The sequence below is a fragment of the Homo sapiens genome, chromosome 19 (assembly GCF_000001405.40).
Source record: "Homo sapiens chromosome 19, GRCh38.p14 Primary Assembly".
Lineage (NCBI taxonomy): Eukaryota > Metazoa > Chordata > Mammalia > Primates > Hominidae > Homo > Homo sapiens.
The window spans coordinates 10,086,306-10,107,347 of record NC_000019.10 but is presented as its reverse complement, the minus strand read 5'-3'; the positions used below and the strand labels follow the sequence as shown (position 1 = coordinate 10,107,347).

Sequence of the window (21,042 nt, the reverse complement as noted above, 5' to 3'; positions counted from 1 at the left end):
GCAGATTTGAGTTCTAACTCTGTCTCTTGCTCACAGCGCATCTTCCCATTGACAAATGAGCGAACTCAGGCCCAGAGAGGTTAAGTAACTTGCATCAGATACTGGGGAGAAGTCAGTTTCCAACCCTGCTTTGCTGCCTCCAGATTCTAGTCTTTTTTTTTCTAACACGGTCTCCTCCGGTCGCCCAGACTGGAGTGAAGTGGCACGATCCCGATTCACTACAGCCTTAATTTCCTGGGCTCAAGGAATCCTCCCACCTCAGCCTCCCGAGTAGCCGGGACTACAGGCACGCAACACCATATCCGACTAATTTTTCTATTTTTTGTAAAGACGGGGTTTCACCATGCTGCTCAGGCTGGTCTCGAATTCCTGGGCTCAAGTGATCCTCCCGCATCAGCATCCCCAAATGCTGGGAATACAGGCATGAGCCACCACGCCCGGCTCCAGATTCCAGTCTTAACTGTCAGGCTTAGGCGACTATCTATCTCCCAAGCTGCGCGCCCTCACTCCAGCCCAGCAAAAGCCCTGAAAGGCAGAAATGATGCTCCCCATGAGGGTCTTTTTTTCCAGCTGGGGAGACTTAAGTCCTCCCACAGTTTTACAGCGGGAGCCATTACTGCAGCTACGAAGACTAGGCCGAGGGTGGGTGGAGGCGGGCTGGGGGTGGGGTACAAACCTGCAGACGGCTGGCAGTGAGCGGCTCCATGACCCGCCGCACGTCCAGGCTGAGCTGCCGGATGTTGCGACCCGTGCAGCCTCGCGTGAACACGAACGAGTGCGGGTTCGCGGCATAGGCCTCGAGGTTGCGGAGCTGCGCCTGGGCGCGGGCGCGCTTCTGGTGCCGGGACTGCGGCGACGAGAGACAAAGGGTCAGCGCCGCGACCTCGGCCGGGACCCCACCTGCGCCACCTGCCTCCCAAGCTGCCGGGCCTTACCCTCCCTGACTGTCCCATGCTGCTGTGTCCTCCACGAGGCCTCCTGCGTCCGCCGCTTCCGGCGCTGCGCAGCTCACTTCCGGCGCCTGAGAGCCGGCACGGCGTGGGACGACATCAGGCGGGCCTGCGCACTAGGTGGCCTCTGGGAGCGGGGAGGGGCAATCAGATGGAGCGGTTGCTATGGAGACACGGGTGCCTGTTTCTAGGGAGACCGGGGCGGGGCTACGCGGCTCCGGGCTGCAGAGAAACGAATCCGCCGGTTCGAATCCCGCTTCGGCCCATTTCCTCCAGCTGGGCTAAAACCACTTTCTGCATTCCGAGGCTCCTAAAATATCCCAAAGTAAGGCTGATAATGTCCCCCGGGCCCACGAATTAGGAGCGACCATGTATGCACAATGTTGGGCGCTCTGGCGCCAAGTACTTGGGGAGAAGCCACCGGAGGGAATGACTGTGGCAATCATTCACTTTAGTCTCGCAACTCCTCTGGGCCAGCTGTCCTCCCCGGGTACCCCTGTCTGCAGACAGGCTGAGGGATGGAAACTCCACATCACCTTCTGGAAACTCAGGGCAAGGCGGGCGTTTCGTGAATAACTCGCCCCCTCCTTCTTTCCGCTCAAAGCCTCAGTCTTGGCCTCAGGCCTCTGGCTTCTTCCCCAAAACCTTGCAGTGGGGGAAAGGGACACCCCCTCACTGGGCTGAACATTACTCTCTCCTCCCCCATCGGCCTCCTCTCCCTCCTTGCTCTCTCTGGCACCCCAATTCTTCCTCCTCTCCCCCAGATGTGTCTCCCCTCCCCCTCGTCTTCCCCCTGTCTCTTTCTCCCTCTTGTAACTTTGTCTCTGTCATCAGTTGTCTCTTTCATCATTTATAACTGAAGATGGAAACTAAAGAAGTTTCCTTTCTCTGTGTCTGGCCCCATCCCTGTTTCTTTCTTCTCATCTGCCTCCCTGTGGTCTCTCCCCATCTTCCCATCTCTCTCTGTCTCTCCCCATCTCCCCGTCTCTCCCTTTCTCTGCCATCTCCCTATGTCTCTCCCATCTCCCTATGCCTCTCCCATCTCCATCTGTCTGACTCTCTGTATTCTTCAGCCCCTCTCTGTGACTTATGAAGTTCCCTCCCTCTCTACTGCCAATGGGGAAGCCAGAGGGGGCTGAGGGTGGGGGGCCGAGGGGCCCAGTGTGGGGGCCCCAACCCAGGCCCAGAGCCCAGCCTGGCAGCCTCTCTCAGATCTGGGACGACCATTTCCTTTTTCAACCCTGGAGTCCACTCGAGTTACTCGGGAGCTCAGGATGGTGCAGACCAGGGGAAGGAGGTGACTCTCCCGGCGTGTGGCTGGTCGTCGGTGGGGCCTTTGGACAGGTCTCAGACCCTGGGCCTGGGCTCTGTGGGGCTCTATGTGAGTTTCTTTGTACCCCTGGGAAATGACTGCATGGTTACTTCCCCCAGTTCCGTCCTCGTGTGATTTGACTTGTGTGAAAATGTGACCGAGTGTGTGGGAGACAGACGGTGACCTCTGTGGTGCGGTGGATAGGTTTCCGGGTGTCAACTGTGTGTACCTGTTTTGTATCTGTGCACTACTGTGTGATCACAAGAACCAGGATGTGGACAAGCCTGACACACAGATAAAGACCCACTCAGCCCACCCCATTTCCCTTTAAGTTGTGATGTGTGTGTGACCATATTTGGAACATACAGTTGTTGCCTGAAACTGTTATGTTTCCAGCTGTGTCTTTTTAAAAATTTTTTTTAATCAATGAGATATCCTTTATTTATGAAAGCATAGTTCCAATGCAGAAGTCAAGCTTTATGGTTATATATTAGGATAGGTTCAGATCCAATATGACAATGTTTAGCACTAACTTTAACATGTTAAAGCTCTGATTCCTGAATGTTTTTCTCACTTAATATATTCTCTCCAATGACAAGCTGGTGTGCTTGGCTTCTTATGCTGAAAAATATATGCCTGAATTCTATAACAAGCTATTAACAAAATCATGAATAGTTAATTAAATAAGTGCCAACACTACATGGAACTTACTGGCCACCAACTCAGAACCATAAAACTACACACACACACACACACACACACACACACCACACACACAAACAAAACAAAAAAAACACCAAAGAAAGATAGCTATCACTGTACATATGAATACTGTCCAGGATATCAGATCAATTATCAAATCCAAGGTCTCTGGTGTTTTGTCTCACAGTGTTGAATATATGAATGCTTCTCTATTATACTGACTTGTATTATTTTCAACAAATAATTATGTGGACTCAAAATCTTACATTTTTATTTCTTTTCTTTTTTTTTTTTTTTTTTTTGAGACAGAGTCTTACTCTGTCGCCCAGGCTGGAGTGCAGTGGCTCACTGCAACCTCCGCCCCCCGGGTTCAAGCGATTCTCCTGCCTCAGCCTCCTGAGTAGCTGGGATTACAGGCATGGGCCACCACACCCGGCAAATTTTTGTATTTTTAGTAGAGACGGGGTTTCACCATCTTGGCCAGGCTGGTCTCGAATTGCTGACCTCGTGATCTGCCCACCTTGGCCTCCCAAAGTGCTGGGATTACAGGCGTGAGCCACCGCGCCCAGCCTTACATTTTTATTTCTAATTATAAAATCCAGATTAATCCAAAAAACATAAATCACATGTAACTGAGGTAGGGTTTTCACTTTAAGAATATATTGTTTCTATCACAATTTAAAAATTTACAGCTGTGTCTTTTATATTTATTTTTTATTTTAATTAATTAATTCCTCACTTTATTATTATTTATTTATTATTTATTTATTTATTTATTTATTTATTTTTGAGATGGAATTTCAGTCTTGTCGCCCAGGCTGGAGTGCATGCGGTTGCTCGATCTCGGCTTACTGCAACCTCCACCTCCTGGCTTCAAGCAATTCTCCTGCCTCAGCCTCCCGCGTAGCTGGGATTACTGGCGCATGCCACCATGCCCAGCTAATTTTTGTATTGTTAGTAGAGACGGGGTTTTAGCATGTTGGCAAGGATGGTTTCGAACTCCTGACCTCAGGTAATCCACCTGCCCCGGCCTCCCAAAGTGCTGGCTTTCAGGCATGAGCCACTGCACCCAGACTTTCGCTGGGTGTTAATGTGTGCGTGCGTGCAAATGTGTGTGTGTGTGTTTGTGTCCACTCTGTTATGTGCCCATATGTGTGTGACAGCTGTGGTGTACATGTGTGAGTTTCTGAGTCAAGCTACCTTGGCTGGCTCCCATCCTGGTCTCTTTTTGGCTGTGTGACCGCAGGCAAGTTGCTTACCCTCTCTGAGCCTCAGTTTTCCCTGCTGTAAAATGAGGGTACATACAGAATCCAGCTCAGGTTGTAAGGATCAAATACGTAAAAGGTGTGGAGAGTTTAGAGCCAAGCCCTACACACGGTAAGTCCCCAGTGATGTTCCTCTTTCTATGTGTGGTGTGTGCGTGTCTGGGGCTGGGATCACGCCTGGCTGCCCCAGGGCCTGCAGCCTCCCACGCTCTGGGCTCTGCAGTGGAGGGTGTGGGGGAAAGGGAGGGATGTCCAGGACACTGACCTGTGTTATCAGGCTCTGGTGGCCTGGGCAGGGGGGTCTGGCAATTCTGTCTCATTTCTCATTCGGGAAATGCTAAATATTTATAGTTTGGGCTCCTGGGCCCAGCATCCCAGCTCCACTCCCAGGCTCTGGGGGCTGGGGAGTGGTTACCAAGCCTCCTCTCTCCTTCTGTCCCACTGCCCTCTCCCCGTCTCTAGCTCAGAGGCCCCACTGGACCCTCGGCTCTTCCTTGGACTTCTTGTGTGTTCTGTGAGCTTCGCTGGATTCAGGGTCTTGGGCATCAGAGGTGAGAGGGTGGGAAGGTAGGTGGAGGTTGATTCTCACTGTGGGGAAACTCCGACCACAGCTTGGCTTGGGGGCCCCCAGGCCACCCCGCCACCCCAGGCTGAGAGTGTAAAAGGCAGCGGGTGTTATACACACGTCCCAGTTCTGGGGGGTTGCTCAATCTCTGTTGTGGGGGGTGGGGCATGTCAGTGATCGGGGACAAAGAGAGGACCCTACCCCCGGATCCTTGTGAGCCCCTGCTTGGTGTCTGAGTCCAGAAGTAAATGTGGCCATCTCCAGCCCAGAACCCTCCATGGCTCCTGCCTGACTCAGAGTAAAACCCAAGTCCTCCTCCGGGCCCACAGGACCCTTCACACTTTGCCCTGACACTTCTTACCTCCTCCTGCTTCCCCCTTCTCTCTTCCGGCCTCATAGACATTTCTGCCATTTCTTTTTTTTTTTTTTTTTTTTTTTGAGACAGAGTCTCGCTCTGTCACCCAGGCTGGAGTGCAGTGGCGCGATCTCAGCTCACTGCAAGCTCCGCCTTCCGGGTTCACGCCATTCTCCTGCCTCAGTCTCTGGAGTGGCTGGGGCTACAGGCGCTCGCCACCATGCCCGGCTAATTTTTTTTTTTTTTTTTGTATTTTTAGTAGAGACGGAATTTCACTGTGTTAGCCAGGATGGTCTCGATCTCCTGACCCCGTGATCCACCTGCCTTGGCCTCCCAAGTGCTGGGATTACAGGCGTGAGCCACCGCACCTGGCCTTTTTTTTTTTTTTTTTTTTGAGCCTTGCTCTGTCGCCCAGGTTGGAGTGCAATGGCGCAATCTCTGCTCACTGCAACATCGGCCTCCTGAGTTCAAGTGACTCTCCCACCTCAGCCTCCTGAGTAGTAGCTGGGATTACAGGCATGCATTACCATGCCCAGCTAATTTTTGTATTTTTAGTAGAGACGGGGTTTCACCATGTTGGCCAGGCTGGTCTTGAACTCTCGACCTCAGGTGATCCTCCCGCCTCGGCCTCCCAAAGTGCTGGGATTACAGGCGTGAGCCACCGTGCCTGGCCCCTTTCTGCCATTTCTTGGGTGCAATCTCCGGGCCTTTGCACCTGCTGTTCTCTCTGCCTGGAATGCTCTTCCTCTTCTCTCTCTTCCATCAGGTCTTTGTGAAAGTGTCCCTTATTCTTTATTTTATTTTTATTTTTATATTTAGTAGAAATGGACTTTCACCATATTGGCCAGGCTGGTCTCAAACTCCTAGGCTCAAGCAATCCTCCTGCCTTGGCCTCCCAAAGTGCTGAAATTACAGGCATGAGGCACTGTTCCAGTCAAGTGTCACTTCTTCTGTGAGGCCTTTCCTGACTCCTCTATTTTATTTTTTTTTGAGACAGAGTCTCGCTCTATTGCCCAGGCTGGAGTGCAGTGGTGCAATCATGGCTCACTGCAACCTCTGCCTTCCGGGTTCAAGTGATTCTTGTGTCTCAGCCTCCTGAGTAGCTGAGACTACAGGCGCGTGCCACTACGCCTGGCTAATTTTTGTATTTTCAGTAGAGACAGGGTTTCGCCACGTTAGCCAAGCTGGTCTCAAACTCCTGGCCTCAAGTGATCCTCCCACCTCAGCCTCCCAAAGTGCTGGGATTACAGGCACCTCGGCCTCCCAAAGTGCTGGGATTACAGGCACCTCGGCCTCCCAAAGTGCTGGGATTACAGGCGTGAGTCAGCACACCCAGTCCTGACTCCTCTATTAAATGTCCCCCACCTCCGGGACTGTCACCCCCTTGCCTGTTCCATTTTTCTCCTAAGCACGATTACCCTCTGACCTACCTAGCGGCTGTTTGACTTATTTCTCTGTTCTCCCAACTTGAATGTCAGCTCTGCAAGGGCAGGAATTTTGTCTGTTTGGGTTAAGGCTGTGTCCTCATTGCCTAAAACAGCATCCCTGGCACACAATAGGCACTCAAGGTGTCTGTGGTTGAATGCATGAATGAGGCAATGTGTGTGTGAGATGGAGACCCTCGGGATATGTGCTTGTGCAGGCATCAGGAAGCATAGGTTTAGGGCCAGTGTGGTTGCTCACATCTGTAATTTCAGCACTTTGGGAGTCCAAGGTGGGAGGATCACTTGAGCCTGGGAGTTTGAGACTAGCCTGGGCAACACAGTGAGACCCCCTCCCTACAAAAAAGTAGCTGGGCATGGTGGTGCGCACCTGTAGTTCCAACCACTCAGGAGGCTGAGGCAGGAGGACCACTTGTGTGCAGGAATTGGAGGCTACAGTGAGCTATGATTGCTCCACTGCACTCCAGCCTGGGCAACAGAGCACGACTCTCTCTTTTTTTTCTTTTTTTTTGAGATGGAGTCTCACCCAGGTTGCCTAGGCTAGAAGGCAGTGGTGCGGTCTCAGCTCACTGCAACCTCTGCCAGGTTCAAGCCGTTCTTCTGCCTCAGCCTCCCGAGTAGCTGGGATTACAGGCATGCGCCACCACGCCCAGCTAATTTTTTGTACTTTTAGTAGAGACGGGATTTCACCTGTTGATCAGGCACCCTGTCTCTACTAAAAATACAAAAATTAGCTGGGTGTGGTGGCGCATGCCTGTAATCCCAGCTTCTTGGGAGGCTGAGGCACAAGAATCACTTGAACCCGGGAGGTGGAGGTTGCAGTGAGCTGAGATTGCAGAGCGAGACTCCGTCTAAAAAAAAAAAAAAGAGGGCGTGGGGGAGAGAGAGAGAGAGAGAGAGAGAAAGAGAGAAAGAGAGAGAGAGAGAGGGAGAGACAGAGAGAGAGAGAGCTTGTATATGGAGGTACAACCCTAAATCTGCTGTTCAAGGAGCGCTGCTGAGACTTGAATAAGGATAGGAAGGGAATGATGTTAAGTTGTGAACAATGTTCCAGGCTGCAAAAACAGCAGGTACAAAGGACCTGAGGCTGGAACTTGCTTCGTGTGAGGAAGGGCCTGGGAGGAGGGCAGAAGGGGATATGGCAGATAGCACAAGTTTTTTTTTTTTTTTTTTTTTTTTTGAGATGGAGTCTTGCTCTGTTGCCCAGGCTAGAGTGCAGTGGCACAGTCTCGGCTCACTGCAAGCTCTGCCTCCCGGGTTCAAGCCATTCTCCTGCCTCAGCCTCCCGAGTAGCTGGGACTACAGGCAGCCGCCACCACGCCTGGCTACTTTTTTTGTATTTTCAGTAGAGACGGGGTTTCACTGTGTTAGCCAGGATGGTCTCGATCTCCTGACCTCGTGATCCGCCCGCCTCCGCCTCCCAAAGTGCTGGGATTACAGGCGTGAGTCACCAAGATAGCGCAACTTTTTATGGATCATGGGTGGATTTGGGCTTTTCCTCTAAAGGAGGTGGGAGCCAAGAAGGATTCAGGGCAGAGGAGGGAGGGAGGGACGTGAACTGACTCAGATGTTCACAGGCGCCCTCTGGCTGCTGTCAGAGAGACTAGACCTGGGGTTGAGGATGGAAATCCAGAGAGCAGGGAGGCAGCTGCTGTCATCCAGATGGTGTCTTGAGCTGGGAATTCAGGGAGGGTCTGGGGGCAGTGGGGAGTAGCGGAGACGTGGAGGAATTCAGGATCTAAGCAGAAGAGCAGACGGGTCTGGCTGATGGATTAGATCTGCTGAGATGGGTTGGATCTGCTGGGGTTTTGGTCTGAGGACGTGGAAGATGGGGTTTCCAATATCCGACGGATGGGAAGGCAGTTAGTGAGACGTTTCCCTCACCCCACCTCACCTCCTTGCACCCTGCTCCCTTTGCTATTTTTTTTTTTTGAGACAGTGTTTTGCTTTTGTTGTCCAGGCTGGAGTGCGGTGGTGCGATCTCGGCTCACTGCAACCTCCACCTCCCAGGTTCAAGTGATTCTCCTGCCTCAGCCTCCCAAGTAGCTGAGATTTCAGGCCTGTACCACCACACCCGGCTAATTTTGCACTTTCAGTAGAGATGGGGTTTCACTATGTTGGTCATGCTAGTCTCGAATTCCTGACCTCAGGTGATCCACCCACCTTGGCCTCCCAAACTGCTGGGATTACAGACATGAGCCACAGCACCCAGCCTCCCTTCGCTTTTGCTTTAACCTCTCCCAGGTTGCTTTAATACATCAGGCAGGGTCCAGTCTCAGAGCTTTTGCACTTAGATCTGCTCCTCCACCAGGCCTTCCCTTTAGGCAACCCCCTCTCAAGCTGCCCCTGCACAGACCTGCGTATTCTTTACCTAGTTTGCTGTTTTTTGTTATTGTTTTGTTTTAAGAGACAGGGTTTGCTCTCGTCCCCAGGCTGGAGTGCAATGCTGCGATCATAGCTCACTGCAGCTTCAAACTCCTGGCCTCAATCGATCCTCCCGCCTCTGCCTCCCAAAGAGCTGGGATTACAGGTGTGAGCCACTGAGCCCAGATTTACAAAATAGTTTAAAAATTAGCAGGGCATGGTGGGTCACACCTGTAATCTCAGCATTTTGGGAGGCAGAGGTGGATCACTTGAGGCCAGGGGAGACCAGCCTAGGCAACATAGCAAGACCCTGACTATACAGAAAATTTAAACATTAGCCAGATGTGGTTCTGTGCACTTGCAGTTCCTTTTTTTTTTTTTTTTTTTGGTAGAGACAGGGTCTGGATACGTTGCCCAGTCTGGAGTCTGGTCTTGAATTCCTGGCCTCAAGCAGTCTTCCCGCCTTAACACAGGCCTGAGCCGCCTCACCAGTCCTACTGTTATTTTTATATTTATTATTTTATTTTATTTTATTTTTTTGAGATGGAGTCTCGCTCAGTCACCCAGGCTGGGCTGCAGTGGCACAATCTCGGCTCACCGCAAGCTCTGCCTCCCAGGTTCACGCCATTCTCCTGCCTCAGCCTCCCAAGTAGCTGGGACTACAAGTGCCCGCCACCACGCCCAGCTAACTTTTTGTATTTTTAGTAGAGATGGGGTTTCACCGTGTTAGCCAGGATGGTCTCGATCTCTTGACCTCGTGATCCACCTGCCTCAGCCTCCCAAAGTGCTGGGATTACAGGAGTGAGCCACCGCGCCTGGCCCTACTGTTATTTTTAGCATTTAACATTGTCTAATATGCTCTATTTATTCATCCTATACAGTACATATTTATTTTTTTGCCCACTAGGGGAGGGATTTTTGTCTGTTTTGTTCCTAAATGTATTCCCAGTGCCTAGAAAGGGGGCTGGCACACATTTGTGCCTAGTGACTGCTTTTTTTTTTTTTTCTTTTGAGACAGAGTCTTGCTCTGTCGCCCAGGCTTGAGTGCAGTGGCGTGATCGCAGCTCACTGCAGCCTGGAACTGCTGGGCTCAGGCGATCTTGGGATGACAAGCCCTTGCCACCATGCCCAGCTAATTTTTGTATTTTTTGTATAGACAGGGTCTCTCTGTGTTGTCTAGGCTGGTCTCCAACTCCTAGGCTCAAGTGATCAGCCCACCTCGGCCTCCCAAAGTGCTGGAATTACCGGCCTGAACGGCCCCATAAGCCTTGTTTTTATTTATTTATTTATTTTTGAGATGGGCTATCACTTTGTTGCCCGGGCTGGAGTGCAGGGGAGCGATCATGGCTCACTGAAGCCTTGAACTCCTGGGCTCAAGTGATCCTCCTGCCTCAGCCTCCCGAATAGCTGGGACCAGAGGTGTGCACCACCACGTCTGTCTAATTTTTTTTTTTTTTTTTTGTAGAGACAGGGGTCTCCCCATGTTGCCCAGGCTGGTCTCGAACTCCTGGTCTCAAGCGATCCTCTCGCCTCGGCCTCCCAAAGTGCTGAGCTTGCAGGCGTGAGCTACGGCGCCCGGCCTCGCTTGTCGAATGAATGAATGCTTGAGATGCGTTATCCGGCCTGGCGCCAAGAGCTCGGTGTTGAAGCCAGAGTGGGATCACCCTGGGGCCCTCCAGCCGTGGGGGGAATGAGATGGGGACTGAAATTATGGGCCCGGGACATCGCGGGTGTAGACGCGCGCATCCCCGCGTGGAAGCGGAGGGGTCTCGCTGGGCCCCAGCACCCCGTCTTCCTTCCGTTCCTCCTCTGCCTGCAGGTCCGCCGCGATGGGGAAGCCCTGGCTGCGTGCGCTACAGCTGCTGCTCCTGCTGGGCGCGTCGTGGGCGCGGGCGGGCGCCCCGCGCTGCACCTACACCTTCGTGCTGCCCCCGCAGAAGTTCACGGGCGCTGTGTGCTGGAGCGGCCCCGCATCCACGCGGGCGACGCCCGAGGCCGCCAACGCCAGCGAGCTGGCGGCGCTGCGCATGCGCGTCGGCCGCCACGAGGAGCTGTTACGCGAGCTGCAGAGGCTGGCGGCGGCCGACGGCGCCGTGGCCGGCGAGGTGCGCGCGCTGCGCAAGGAGAGCCGCGGCCTGAGCGCGCGCCTGGGCCAGTTGCGCGCGCAGCTGCAGCACGAGGCGGGGCCCGGGGCGGGCCCGGGGGCGGATCTGGGGGCGGAGCCTGCCGCGGCGCTGGCGCTGCTCGGGGAGCGCGTGCTCAACGCGTCCGCCGAGGCTCAGCGCGCAGCCGCCCGGTTCCACCAGCTGGACGTCAAGTTCCGCGAGCTGGCGCAGCTCGTCACCCAGCAGAGCAGTCTCATCGCCCGCCTGGAGCGCCTGTGCCCGGGAGGCGCGGGCGGGCAGCAGCAGGTAACCTCGCAGCCTCCCCGGAGAGCAGCATCGTCTGTGAAATGGGGGTTTTGCAACCCCACGATCTCTTATCCACAGTTCTGAAATCCGCAAAACCCTGAAAACCGGATTCCTACTCGCCCCTTCTGGTAACTTATTTGGGTCAAAAAGTGACTGGTGGCTATTTATAGCCTTCACTTAACCACTTAATGTGAATAGTCATAGGATCCTATAATTAAACATATCATTATCACGTAAAGACCAAAAACCCCTTTAGGAGTGTTATGTATATTCTATACACACATGCATATACATAACCCTCCCTGTGTCACTGTGTCTAAATCCAGCCGTGTTATTCTGAATTCTGGAACGTGTCCTGGTCTGGGTTTGGGATAAGAGAATGTTGCTCTGTGACAGTCCCTACGTTACAGGGTTGGTGAGAGGAGTCAGTAAGTTAGATACTGTTGGATGTGTTGTTATTATCCCTACTCTACAGAGGAGGCTGGGGCACAGATCAATTAAACCATGAGCACCAAGAGCCGGTATTTAAGCCCAGCTCTGTCTGCACTTTATTTTTTTAATTTTATTTTTGAGATGGAGTCTCGCTCTGTCTCCCAGGCTGGAGTGCAGTGGTGCAATCTTGGCTCACTGCAACCTCCACCTCCCAGGTTCAAGCGATCCTCCTACCTCAACCTTCCGAGTAGCTGGCATTACAGGCGTGAGCCAACACACTCAGTTAATTTTTTTTGTATTTTTAGTAGAGACGGAGGTTTCACCATGTTGGTCAGGCTGGTCTCGAACTCCTGACCTCAGGTGATCCGCCCGCCTCGGCCTCCCAAAGTGCTGGGATTACAGGCACGGGCCATAGCGCCCAGCCTGTCTGCACTTTAAAGCCAAGTTGTTTAGCTTTTGGGGAGGATCATTCCTAGGGCTGGGACACCCCCACTGCCAGATGTCCAGGTCATTTGGGAGCTGGGAGATTTATCCACCATTTCTGCCCCTGAGACCAGGCCTCCTGGCCTGAGGGTTAGTGCAATTACACCTGACTTTCTCCGTCACCCCAGGTCCTGCCGCCACCCCCACTGGTGCCTGTGGTTCCGGTCCGTCTTGTGGGTAGCACCAGTGACACCAGTAGGATGCTGGACCCAGCCCCAGAGCCCCAGAGAGACCAGACCCAGAGACAGCAGGAGCCCATGGCTTCTCCCATGCCTGCAGGTCACCCTGCGGTCCCCACCAAGCCTGTGGGTAAGTCGACATTAGGGCTGAGGAATTGTGGGTAGAGGAAAATTGAGGAGTCAGGATTTTAGTGGCAGATTTCTCTCATTGTGAGAAGACCAGAAGAAATGATACTCCTATTCTGATTAAAAATAAGACCAAACTTCTAAGGTGTGAAAATAGGAGAAACAAGAAATAGAAGAGGAGGGACTCTTACTTTAGTGAGGCGATGTTTGGGACTGCTACTTTGGTAAGAGTTTGAACTGGTTCAGAGTATCATATTCAGGACTTATATTATGGTGAGGAGACCATAAAAAACCAGGGTTTAAGAACCCCAGAGTTGGCCGGGCGCGATGGCTCATGCCTGTAATCCCAGCACTTTGGGAGGCCGAGGCGGGTGGATCACGAGGTCAGGAGATCAAGACCATCCTGGCTAACACGGTGAAACCCCATTTCTACTAAAAATACAAAAAATTAGCTGGGCGTGGTGGCGGGCGCCTGTAGTCCCAGCTGCTCGGGAGGCTGAGGCAGGAGAAAGGCGTGAACCTGGGAGGATGAGGTTGCAGTGAGCCGAGATCGCACCACTGCACTCCAGCCTGAGTGACAGAGCGAGACTCCATCTCAAAAAAAAAAAGAACCCCAGACTTGACATTTCCTTTGATTAGAGACAAGGGACCCAGATTCTTAGGTAAAGAAATGGCTATTGGAGCTCGGATTCTGGTGAGGAAATGGGAGAGGCAGGCCTCTTATTCTGGTGAGGAAATGGGAGAGGCAGGACTCTTTGGTAGAAAAGTGGGAGAGGCAGAACTCTTATTCTGGTGAGAGGACCTGTGAGAATCTTGACTCTTGCTCCAGTAAGGGATTGGTCAGCCCAGGCTGTGCCTCCCCCCTATCCCTGTGCCCACAGGCCCGTGGCAGGATTGTGCAGAGGCCCGCCAGGCAGGCCATGAACAGAGTGGAGTGTATGAACTGCGAGTGGGCCGTCACGTAGTGTCAGTATGGTGTGAGCAGCAACTGGAGGGTGGAGGCTGGACTGTGATCCAGCGGAGGCAAGATGGTTCAGTCAACTTCTTCACTACCTGGCAGCACTATAAGGTGGGCACAGGTGGGCAGAGGCAGGGAAGGGGAGGGAGCCTGTTCTGGCTTCCTGACTTTCCTGCCCTGCCAGGCGGGCTTTGGGCGGCCAGACGGAGAATACTGGCTGGGCCTTGAACCCGTGTATCAGCTGACCAGCCGTGGGGACCATGAGCTGCTGGTTCTCCTGGAGGACTGGGGGGGCCGTGGAGCACGTGCCCACTATGATGGCTTCTCCCTGGAACCCGAGAGCGACCACTACCGCCTGCGGCTTGGCCAGTACCATGGTGATGCTGGAGACTCTCTTTCCTGGCACAATGACAAGCCCTTCAGCACCGTGGATAGGGACCGAGACTCCTATTCTGGTAAGGAGAACTCCTATTCTGGTGAGAGGATAGGGGAGGCGGGACTCCTGTTCTGGTGAGGGAATGAAAGGAGGTAGGGTAGGTAAGACGCCCCTCTGGTAAGTATAAGGATAAGCAAGCTTTTATTCCGTCAAGAGAACAAAGGTCAGGACTTTTATCCTGGTGGGGGGATGGGGAGTCCAGATTCCTTCTCTGATGAGGCAAAAAAAGAATCAAGACTCCTGTTCAAGTAAAGGGCAGAGGGTGAGAGCTAGTACTCTTATTCTAGAAAGGAAGTAGATACTTTTCTTTGATAAAGGAATGAACGGTAGACTCCTAGTTTGCAGAAAAGGTGGGAAAGATGTGACTTGTACTTTGGTAAGGAGATAGGGAAGGAATTAAGGCTATTACTCTGAAGAAAGTTGGGGGGCCAGGGCTCCTATTTTTTTGCTGAGGAGATGGAAGATCAGGGCTTGTATTCAATAAGAATGGGAGGGGCCAGGGGATGCCTGGCAAAAGCCTTGCACTGTGAGGTGCAGGTAGAGGCTTTTATTCTGGTGAGAGGACATGGACTCTCTCTCTCCCCTCAGGTAACTGTGCCCTGTACCAGCGGGGAGGCTGGTGGTACCATGCCTGTGCCCACTCCAACCTCAACGGTGTGTGGCACCACGGCGGCCACTACCGAAGCCGCTACCAGGATGGTGTCTACTGGGCTGAGTTTCGTGGTGGGGCATATTCTCTCAGGAAGGCCGCCATGCTCATTCGGCCCCTGAAGCTGTGACTCTGTGTTCCTCTGTCCCCTAGGCCCTAGAGGACATTGGTCAGCAGGAGCCCAAGTTGTTCTGGCCACACCTTCTTTGTGGCTCAGTGCCAATGTGTCCCACAGAACTTCCCACTGTGGATCTGTGACCCTGGGCGCTGAAAATGGGACCCAGGAATCCCCCCCGTCAATATCTTGGCCTCAGATGGCTCCCCAAGGTCATTCATATCTCGGTTTGAGCTCATATCTTATAATAACACAAAGTAGCCACAGACCGTGTCTGGTTTGTATCTGCACCTGGCAGGGGTCACTCCCTGGGCCCGCCCTCCTCGTCCTCCACCTCCTCCTCTTCCTCCTCCTCCTCCTTCAGGTCCTCCAGGATGAGGTTGTCCAGGTCTTCCAGGAGGCCACCCTGGCTCAAGCAGGTGGCCACAGTGGAGCCACTGCTAATGTGAGGGTTGCTGGGGTGGAGCACTTTGGGCAGGTGGTTCTGCTTCCGGCTCTTGGGGTGAGCACAGGATGTCCCAGGCACGTGGGGCTCTAGGGAGGGAGAGGTGCTGCAGACATGGGGCTGGAGGTCCCATGAGAGTCTGGGGAGGAGGGGACTTAGGCCACGCGGGGCTCTAGGGAGGAGCTGAGACCACCAGATACGGGGACCAGCACAACTGGACATTCAGGGGTGTTGAAGATACAGGAGACCTGGGGACATGGGGGTCACCTGAGATTACAGGGGACAAAACAGGGGCCCCAAACCCAGAGACCATGGGGGCAGAGGCCATGGGGACCCTCAGGCACGGGCCACTGGGGTGAAACCTCAGAGCCTCCTGGGCAAGACCACGGAGACTGGGGGGTCATGGAGGCCATGTGGAAGCAGTGGCTGCTGCTGTGGGAGACAAAGTGGACTGAGTGGAGATTTGGGGACTTAAAGGCACAGAAGGGGACAAAGACTGTCCAGGCTGTTGGGGGAGAAGAGCCTCACCTCGCCGGTTGTAGCAGTCGGCAGCTGAGCAGGAGTGAGTGTGGGTGCTGCGGCGATCCGGGTCCCGGTCCCAGCGCGGGGGGAGGATCCGTGTTGGATACACGGGGAAGCCGCACCCGTAGCAGGGGGACGGGGACCCCATCTGTGCCCAGCCCCTGGGGGCGGGCAGGGCTGTGAGGGTCCGAGGGCGAGGCTGGGCCAGGGTGGGGCCAGGGCAGGGAGGGGCAGGGCTGGGGTAGGGCAGGGCTGAGGGGGAGCTGGGGGTCAGCGCCCTCACCGGAAGTTGTGCCGACACTTCGGGCAGTGGAACTCAGCCAGGCCCCACATCTTGTCAGCTGGCACTGGCTCGTAGCGCTTCCGGCATTTCCGGCACCGGGATACCTGGTGGTGGTGGGCAGGAAGGTACAGAGAGGGGACCAAGGATTGTCAGAGGTGTCTGAGGTTGGGGTCAGGGCTAGCAGTGTGCTGCAGCGGCTGGCCTCAGCTTGAGCAACCCAACTCAATCAGTGACTTCACGTGGGTAGCCTGATATTGACCATGGTGGGAATATTTACACCACAGAAATTGGCAAACACTACACATCTTGGCTTCCTGCCTCTTTTGCAAGAACTAGTTAAGCATTGACCAGAAGTGAACTACTAGTCAGGAGGTTCAGAAGCCAGATTTGGGGCTGTGTTTTTGAGGTCAGATTTGGTTTCTTTTCTTTCTTTCTTTTTTTTTTTAGAGACAGAGTCTTGCTCTGTCACCCAGGCTGGAATGCAGTGTTGTGATCATGGCTTACTGCAGCCTCGACCTCCCAGGCTCAAACGATCCTCCCACCTCAGCCTCCTGAGTAGTTGGGACCACAGGCACACACCACCACTCCCAGCTAATTAAAAAAATTTTTTTTTGCCAGGCACAGTGGCTCATGCCTGTAATCCCAGCACTTTGGGAGGCTGAGGTGGTAGATTGCTTGAGCCCAGGAGTTTGAGACCAGCTTGGGCAACATGGCAAAACCCCATCTCCACACACACACACAAAATACAAAAATTAGCCAAGTGTGGTGGCGCAGGCCTGTAGTCCCAGCTGCTTGGGAGGTTGAGGTGGGAGGATCACCTGAGGCCAGGAGGTGGAGGCTGCAGTGAGCTATGATCCCGCCACTGCACTCCAGCCTGGGTGACAGGGCGAGACCCCCTGTCTTCAAAACACATTTTTTTTTGGAGACAGGGTCTCACCCTGTCACCCAGGCTGGTCTCAAACTCCTAAATTCAAGCGATCCTCCCTACTTAGCCTCCCAAAACACTGAGATTGCAGCCATGAGCCACTGCGCCTGGCCAGGTTTGATTTCTGTAGTAGCTGTTCAATTGTGGGTCAAGGGTCAGGTTCTGGGGTAAGGAGGTATTGGGCTTCTCACATTTAAGGTCAGAAGTCCAGTCCTGGGTCAGGGGTTGGGATCAGAGATCAAGGCTGAGCTCTGAGTTTGGAGGTCAGGGATTGGACTCTCAGTGATTGAAATCCTTAGGTCAGAGGTACAGTCACTGAGGATAGGAGTCAGGAGTGGAGTTCGGGACAGTCAAAGTCGAGGTTAAGTTTTAGGTCATCACCTCCTTCCGCTGGGGCACGCGGCGCCACCAGACGTGGTCGCAGGAGGAGCAGGCAAACTGCCGGTCCACAGCAGGGATAAGGTCGTCCTGGGCACGTTGAAACATGCGTAGGTTGGCTTCTGTCAGTGGCAGGAGGGAGGTCGCCACTGCCTGTGGAATGGGGCAGGTGGGGATGAGGTGGGGGGGTGTCACCCCTTCTGCACCAACATAAGCATCAGCCCTCCTCTCCCTACAGACGAGTCCTCTTCCTGCCCCAGTGAATATCTCCCCTCCTGCCCTAATGGACATCCTTCTGTGCCTGCAGATGTCCCCCTCCCAACTCCCCCATCCCAAGCCCTAGCCACCAACTCACCTGAATGTCCCGGTCCTGCTTCATATCTTCTGGTGGATCCTGGGTGGAGATAGCAGGGGCAGAAACTGGGGATGGGGCTCAGGCCTCTTTCCACCCGTTTGCTGGGGGAGGCCCCCGGCCGCAATGAGTAGGGTGCCCCTAACTCGCCAGAAGCTCACAGAGCACCACTCACTTATTGAGAGCCAGGTGTGTGGCCTCAGTTGTCCTCATAGCAGCCCTGAGAGGTGGGCACACCTGTTACCTTATTGCTCAGATGGGGAAACTGAGGCTTAGGGGAGGGCTTGCCTGAGTGAGGCTAGCCTGACCCCCATACTCACTTCCTGCCTGCAAATGCCACATGCTTGTTGATGTTGTGACATATCGCCCCTTTGAGGCCACGTTGTGCTCGGCTAAGTGGGAGAGAGATGTGGGTTCAAATCCCAGCTGTATCACTTCCAGCTGTGGGGACTTGGGCAAGCCACTCCCTGCCCCCTGGGTTCCCACTGACAGGCATGTTAGAGCCCAGGCTCTGACTCCAGGTGGCCAGGGTTCAAATCGCAGCTGCCCCTGCTTGCTGGCAAGTGACTTCGGCCTCAGTTTCTTTGTCTGTGAAATGGGGATAAATAATAGGACCTGTCTCCTGGGGTCACTGCAGTGATGAAATAAATAAATTCCTGGAATCTTGCCATGTGGGAAGTACTCAATGAATGCTACTCTCTGCTAATATTATTATTATTATTATTATTATTATTATTATTATTATATTTTTGAGACGGAGTTTCGCTCTTGTCTCCCAGGCTAGAGTGCAATGGCACAATCTTGGCTGACTGCAACCTCTGCCTCCCAGGTTCAAGTGATTCTTCTGCCTTAGCCTGCCAAGTAGCTGGGATTACAAGCATGCACTGCCACGCCCAGCTAATTTTTTGTATTTTTAATAGAGAAGGGGTTTCACCGTGTTGGCCAGGCTAATCTCGAACTCCTGACCTCAAGTGATCTGCCCGCCTCAACCTCCCAAAGTGCTGGAATTACAGGCGTGAGCCACCACACCTGGCCCCTCTGCTATCATTTTTATCATACTTTTATATGTATAAATGTAGACTATGATACATGTTTTGTTATACTCTGGTTTTGTTTGTTTTTGTTTGTTTGAGACGGAGAATCGCTCTGTTGCCCAGGCTGGAGTGCAGTGGTGCGATCTCGGCTCACTGCAAGCTCCGCCTCCCGGGTTCACGCCATTCTCCTGCCTCAGCCTCCTGAGTAGCTGGGACTACAGGGGCCTGCCAGCACAACTGGCTAATTTTTTTTTTCGTATTTTTAGTATAGATGGGGTTTCACCATGTTAGCCAGGATGGTCTCGATCTCCTGACCTCATGATCCGCCCGCCTTGGCCTCCCAAAGTGCTGGGATTACAGGCGTGAGCCACCGCGCCCGGCATTTTTTTTTTTTTTTTTTTTTTGAGACAGAGTTTCGCTCTTGTTGCCCAGGCTGGAGTGCAATGGTGTGATCTCAGCTCACTGCAACCTCCGCCTCCTGGGTTCAAGTGATTCTCCTGCCTCAGCCTCCCGAGTAGCTGGGATTACAGGCATGCGCCACCATGCCCAGCTAATTTTGTATTTTTTAGTAGAGACGGGTTTCTCCATGTTGGTCAGGCTGGTCTCAAACTCCCGACCTCAGGTGATCCGCCCGCCTCGGCCTCCCAAAATGTTGGGATTGCAGGCGTGAGCCACCGCGCCTGGCCTATTATACTCTTTAACAGCCCTACACTAAGCCTTTCAGGCAGGCTAAATCCACAGCGTTCCCATCACCAAAGCTGTCAAAGAAGCAAAGTAGCCATGATGCACCTGTGCTTCAAAGCCATTCATTCATTCATTCATTCATTCATTCATTCATTCATTCAACACAAGGGTTCCATTCCCCTGCCTCTCTCTCCTCCCCAATCCTCTGCTCATCCTAGCCTTTCTAGAGACTGCCACTAACAACCCTTCCCCACCTCCCAGCCTTTGCTTATGCCATTCCCTCCCCCACCCCAAGACCCCTGCCTTTCTTTCCCTTTCCCCTCCCAGGGCTCACTCCTCCCCATCCTTTAAGACTTGGTACCTCCTCCTCCAGTAAGCCTTCTCTGACCTCTGCGCCCCCGCTATGATGGCAATAATCCTGGCTCCTTTCATTGCTTAGTTTCATGGCTCTCTCCCCCATTGAATACAATCAGCACATAATGAGCGCCTACTGTTTGCAGGCTCCCTGGCCGGACAAATGATGGAGAGGTGAAAAAGTGAGATTGGGTGATGAGTTATGGACCGACAATGCCTGGTCCCTCCTGTTTCAGAGGGGGGTCAGTCACCATGAACGGGTCGGGTCCCCCCTCTTGCTCTCCCTCCCGTGACCCGGTCCTTTGCGAGGGGAGGGGATAGGTTACCTGGGCATCCAGATCGTTACTTAGTTCTTGGCCATCTTTTTGCTTTACCCCTGCGGGGGAGAGTGCATATAAGGGAAGGGCCCTTGAAGGGTCTGTGGGAGTTCCAGGCCACCCAGAGCCGCGACGCAGAGCCTCCCCAAGGCTGGGACCTCCGGGGGAGGTGATCTCAACGCCTCTCCCTAGACCACGCCCCCTCGGCGCTCCCACGCGCGGTCCCCGCACCAGGCCCGGGACCCCTGCAGCCTCACCGTACACGATGGAGCGCCCCACTCCCGTGTGGTCGCTGCCGAATTTCCTCATCAGAGCCCCCGCCTTCTTGGAGGATACCTTCCCATGAAACTTCTCCCGGAGGCGCCGGACGCTCTTCTCCAGCTGGGATGGAGACAGGGGGGTTCCGGTGGGGGAAGGGGAAACGGGATCATCCCTCCCCCATCTCTAGGCACCGTTCTCCCGGCCCGAACTTGACCCTTGGTTTTGGCCTCCGCCGCCCCCCCCCCGCCTTTCATCCCTTTACGGCATTTCCTGGAAAAAGCCAAAGTCCCCACAGGGCGTTGGGGGAAGGCGCGGACTGGGGCGAGCGTCCCAGCCTAAGGTGTGGGGGGGCGGCCAGGTTATCTCTGGCCTCTGACCTTTGACCCTGCAGCCCCCGCTTTTCCTCGGGGAGGCCTCATTTCGCTCTGGGGAAACGTGGGAGTCACTTTCCTTTTCAAGGGGGGCGAGCGCCAGGCAGGGGTAAGGATCTGGGGTTCTAGGATGGGGGTCCCCAGGAACTGCGAAGCCCCCTCCGCGCCTCCCGGCCGCTCCTCGGGGTCTGTCGCGGCTGACCCCGGCCCAGCCGTAGCCATCGCTTACCTCCACACCTTCCTGAGACATGGTGGCGGCGGCGCAGTTCCCCGCGAGGGTCCGCACTGCGCGGCTCAGCCGCCCCCCTACCTGGGTGCGCCCGTCGGTCCAGCAGCCGCGCAGGGCAGGGGGCGGTGCCTCGGGGCCGGCTC

The 21,042-nt window shown here is 54.1% G+C and overlaps 4 protein-coding genes across 17 annotated transcripts in view, besides 9 other annotated features; 1 reads left to right on the top strand and 3 right to left on the bottom strand.

Moving 5' to 3' along the window:
- The window catches only part of PPAN-P2RY11 (PPAN-P2RY11 readthrough), a 9,011-nt gene extending 8,025 nt beyond the window's left edge, over window positions 1-986 (bottom strand). For both annotated transcript variants that reach the window (NM_001198690.2, NM_001040664.3), the window contains exons 1-2: window positions 936-986; window positions 677-847 (exon numbers count right to left, since the gene is read on the bottom strand). In NM_001198690.2, the coding sequence (NP_001185619.1) occupies window positions 677-847; window positions 936-953 (189 nt within the window). In that variant the 5' untranslated portion in view covers window positions 954-986. The remainder of the gene's footprint in view (window positions 1-676; window positions 848-935) is intronic.
- The window catches only part of PPAN (peter pan homolog), a 5,790-nt gene extending 4,665 nt beyond the window's left edge, over window positions 1-1,125 (bottom strand). Inside the window, exons 1-2 of one of the 3 annotated variants that reach the window (NM_001346139.1) lie at window positions 936-1,125; window positions 677-847 (exon numbers count right to left, since the gene is read on the bottom strand). In NM_001346139.1, the coding sequence (NP_001333068.1) occupies window positions 677-847; window positions 936-953 (189 nt within the window). In that variant the 5' untranslated portion in view covers window positions 954-1,125. Of the gene's footprint in view, window positions 1-676 lie in introns of all 3 variants that reach the window. The other 2 variants (NM_020230.7, NM_001346141.1) reach the window with 2 other exon arrangements.
- Window positions 706-1,349: an enhancer, noted in NCBI's record as "H3K27ac hESC enhancer chr19:10216675-10217318 (GRCh37/hg19 assembly coordinates)". NCBI's record gives its function as "activates a minimal SCP1, AML or CMV promoter by ChIP-STARR-seq in naive and primed H9 embryonic stem cells {active_cell/tissue: H9 hESC(naive and primed)}" and the evidence as "EXISTENCE:reporter gene assay evidence [ECO:0000049][PMID:30033119]".
- Window positions 790-839: a silencer, noted in NCBI's record as "silent region_10056". NCBI's record gives its function as "represses an Ori minimal core promoter by ATAC-STARR-seq in GM12878 lymphoblastoid cells {active_cell/tissue: GM12878}" and the evidence as "EXISTENCE:reporter gene assay evidence [ECO:0000049][PMID:35858748]".
- Window positions 1,060-1,109: an enhancer, noted in NCBI's record as "active region_13938". NCBI's record gives its function as "activates an Ori minimal core promoter by ATAC-STARR-seq in GM12878 lymphoblastoid cells {active_cell/tissue: GM12878}" and the evidence as "EXISTENCE:reporter gene assay evidence [ECO:0000049][PMID:35858748]".
- ANGPTL6 (angiopoietin like 6) lies at window positions 1,158-15,010 on the top strand. Of its 6 annotated transcripts, XM_011528349.4 has the most exons (8): window positions 1,658-2,331; window positions 4,211-4,341; window positions 4,692-4,796; window positions 10,775-11,366; window positions 12,410-12,590; window positions 13,468-13,655; window positions 13,729-13,999; window positions 14,569-15,010. In XM_011528349.4, the coding sequence occupies exons 2-8, from the start codon at window positions 4,256-4,258 to the stop codon at window positions 14,757-14,759; spliced, it is 1,614 nt and encodes a 537-aa protein (XP_011526651.1). In that variant the 5' UTR covers window positions 1,658-2,331; window positions 4,211-4,255; the 3' UTR covers window positions 14,760-15,010. The 6 variants fall into 6 exon arrangements, with proteins under 6 accessions (NP_001374277.1, XP_011526651.1, NP_001374276.1 ...); NM_001387348.1 differs by lacking the exons at window positions 1,658-2,331; window positions 4,211-4,341 and adding an exon at window positions 1,158-1,275 and having other exon boundaries at window positions 4,692-4,780; NM_001387347.1 differs by lacking the exon at window positions 4,211-4,341 and having other exon boundaries at window positions 4,692-4,780.
- Window positions 4,491-4,540: an enhancer, noted in NCBI's record as "active region_13937". NCBI's record gives its function as "activates an Ori minimal core promoter by ATAC-STARR-seq in GM12878 lymphoblastoid cells {active_cell/tissue: GM12878}" and the evidence as "EXISTENCE:reporter gene assay evidence [ECO:0000049][PMID:35858748]".
- Window positions 4,611-4,660: an enhancer, noted in NCBI's record as "active region_13936". NCBI's record gives its function as "activates an Ori minimal core promoter by ATAC-STARR-seq in GM12878 lymphoblastoid cells {active_cell/tissue: GM12878}" and the evidence as "EXISTENCE:reporter gene assay evidence [ECO:0000049][PMID:35858748]".
- Window positions 8,076-8,125: a silencer, noted in NCBI's record as "silent region_10055". NCBI's record gives its function as "represses an Ori minimal core promoter by ATAC-STARR-seq in GM12878 lymphoblastoid cells {active_cell/tissue: GM12878}" and the evidence as "EXISTENCE:reporter gene assay evidence [ECO:0000049][PMID:35858748]".
- Window positions 11,023-11,082: a silencer, noted in NCBI's record as "silent region_10054". NCBI's record gives its function as "represses an Ori minimal core promoter by ATAC-STARR-seq in GM12878 lymphoblastoid cells {active_cell/tissue: GM12878}" and the evidence as "EXISTENCE:reporter gene assay evidence [ECO:0000049][PMID:35858748]".
- Window positions 11,143-11,282: a silencer, noted in NCBI's record as "silent region_10053". NCBI's record gives its function as "represses an Ori minimal core promoter by ATAC-STARR-seq in GM12878 lymphoblastoid cells {active_cell/tissue: GM12878}" and the evidence as "EXISTENCE:reporter gene assay evidence [ECO:0000049][PMID:35858748]".
- On the bottom strand, window positions 14,105-21,031 carry SHFL (shiftless antiviral inhibitor of ribosomal frameshifting). Of its 6 annotated transcripts, none has more exons than NM_018381.4 (8): window positions 20,900-21,031; window positions 20,296-20,419; window positions 20,048-20,097; window positions 17,653-17,691; window positions 17,301-17,450; window positions 15,995-16,098; window positions 15,718-15,872; window positions 14,105-15,278 (listed from the first exon to the last, which is right to left on the bottom strand). In NM_018381.4, the coding sequence occupies exons 1-8, from the start codon at window positions 20,918-20,920 to the stop codon at window positions 15,046-15,048; spliced, it is 876 nt and encodes a 291-aa protein (NP_060851.2). In that variant the 5' UTR covers window positions 20,921-21,031; the 3' UTR covers window positions 14,105-15,045. The 6 variants fall into 6 exon arrangements, with proteins under 6 accessions (NP_060851.2, NP_001295206.1, XP_047295002.1 ...); NM_001308277.2 differs by having other exon boundaries at window positions 15,718-15,764; XM_047439046.1 differs by lacking the exons at window positions 20,048-20,097; window positions 20,296-20,419; window positions 20,900-21,031 and adding exons at window positions 17,970-18,041; window positions 18,140-18,235.
- Window positions 20,763-21,042: a silencer, noted in NCBI's record as "silent region_10052". NCBI's record gives its function as "represses an Ori minimal core promoter by ATAC-STARR-seq in GM12878 lymphoblastoid cells {active_cell/tissue: GM12878}" and the evidence as "EXISTENCE:reporter gene assay evidence [ECO:0000049][PMID:35858748]".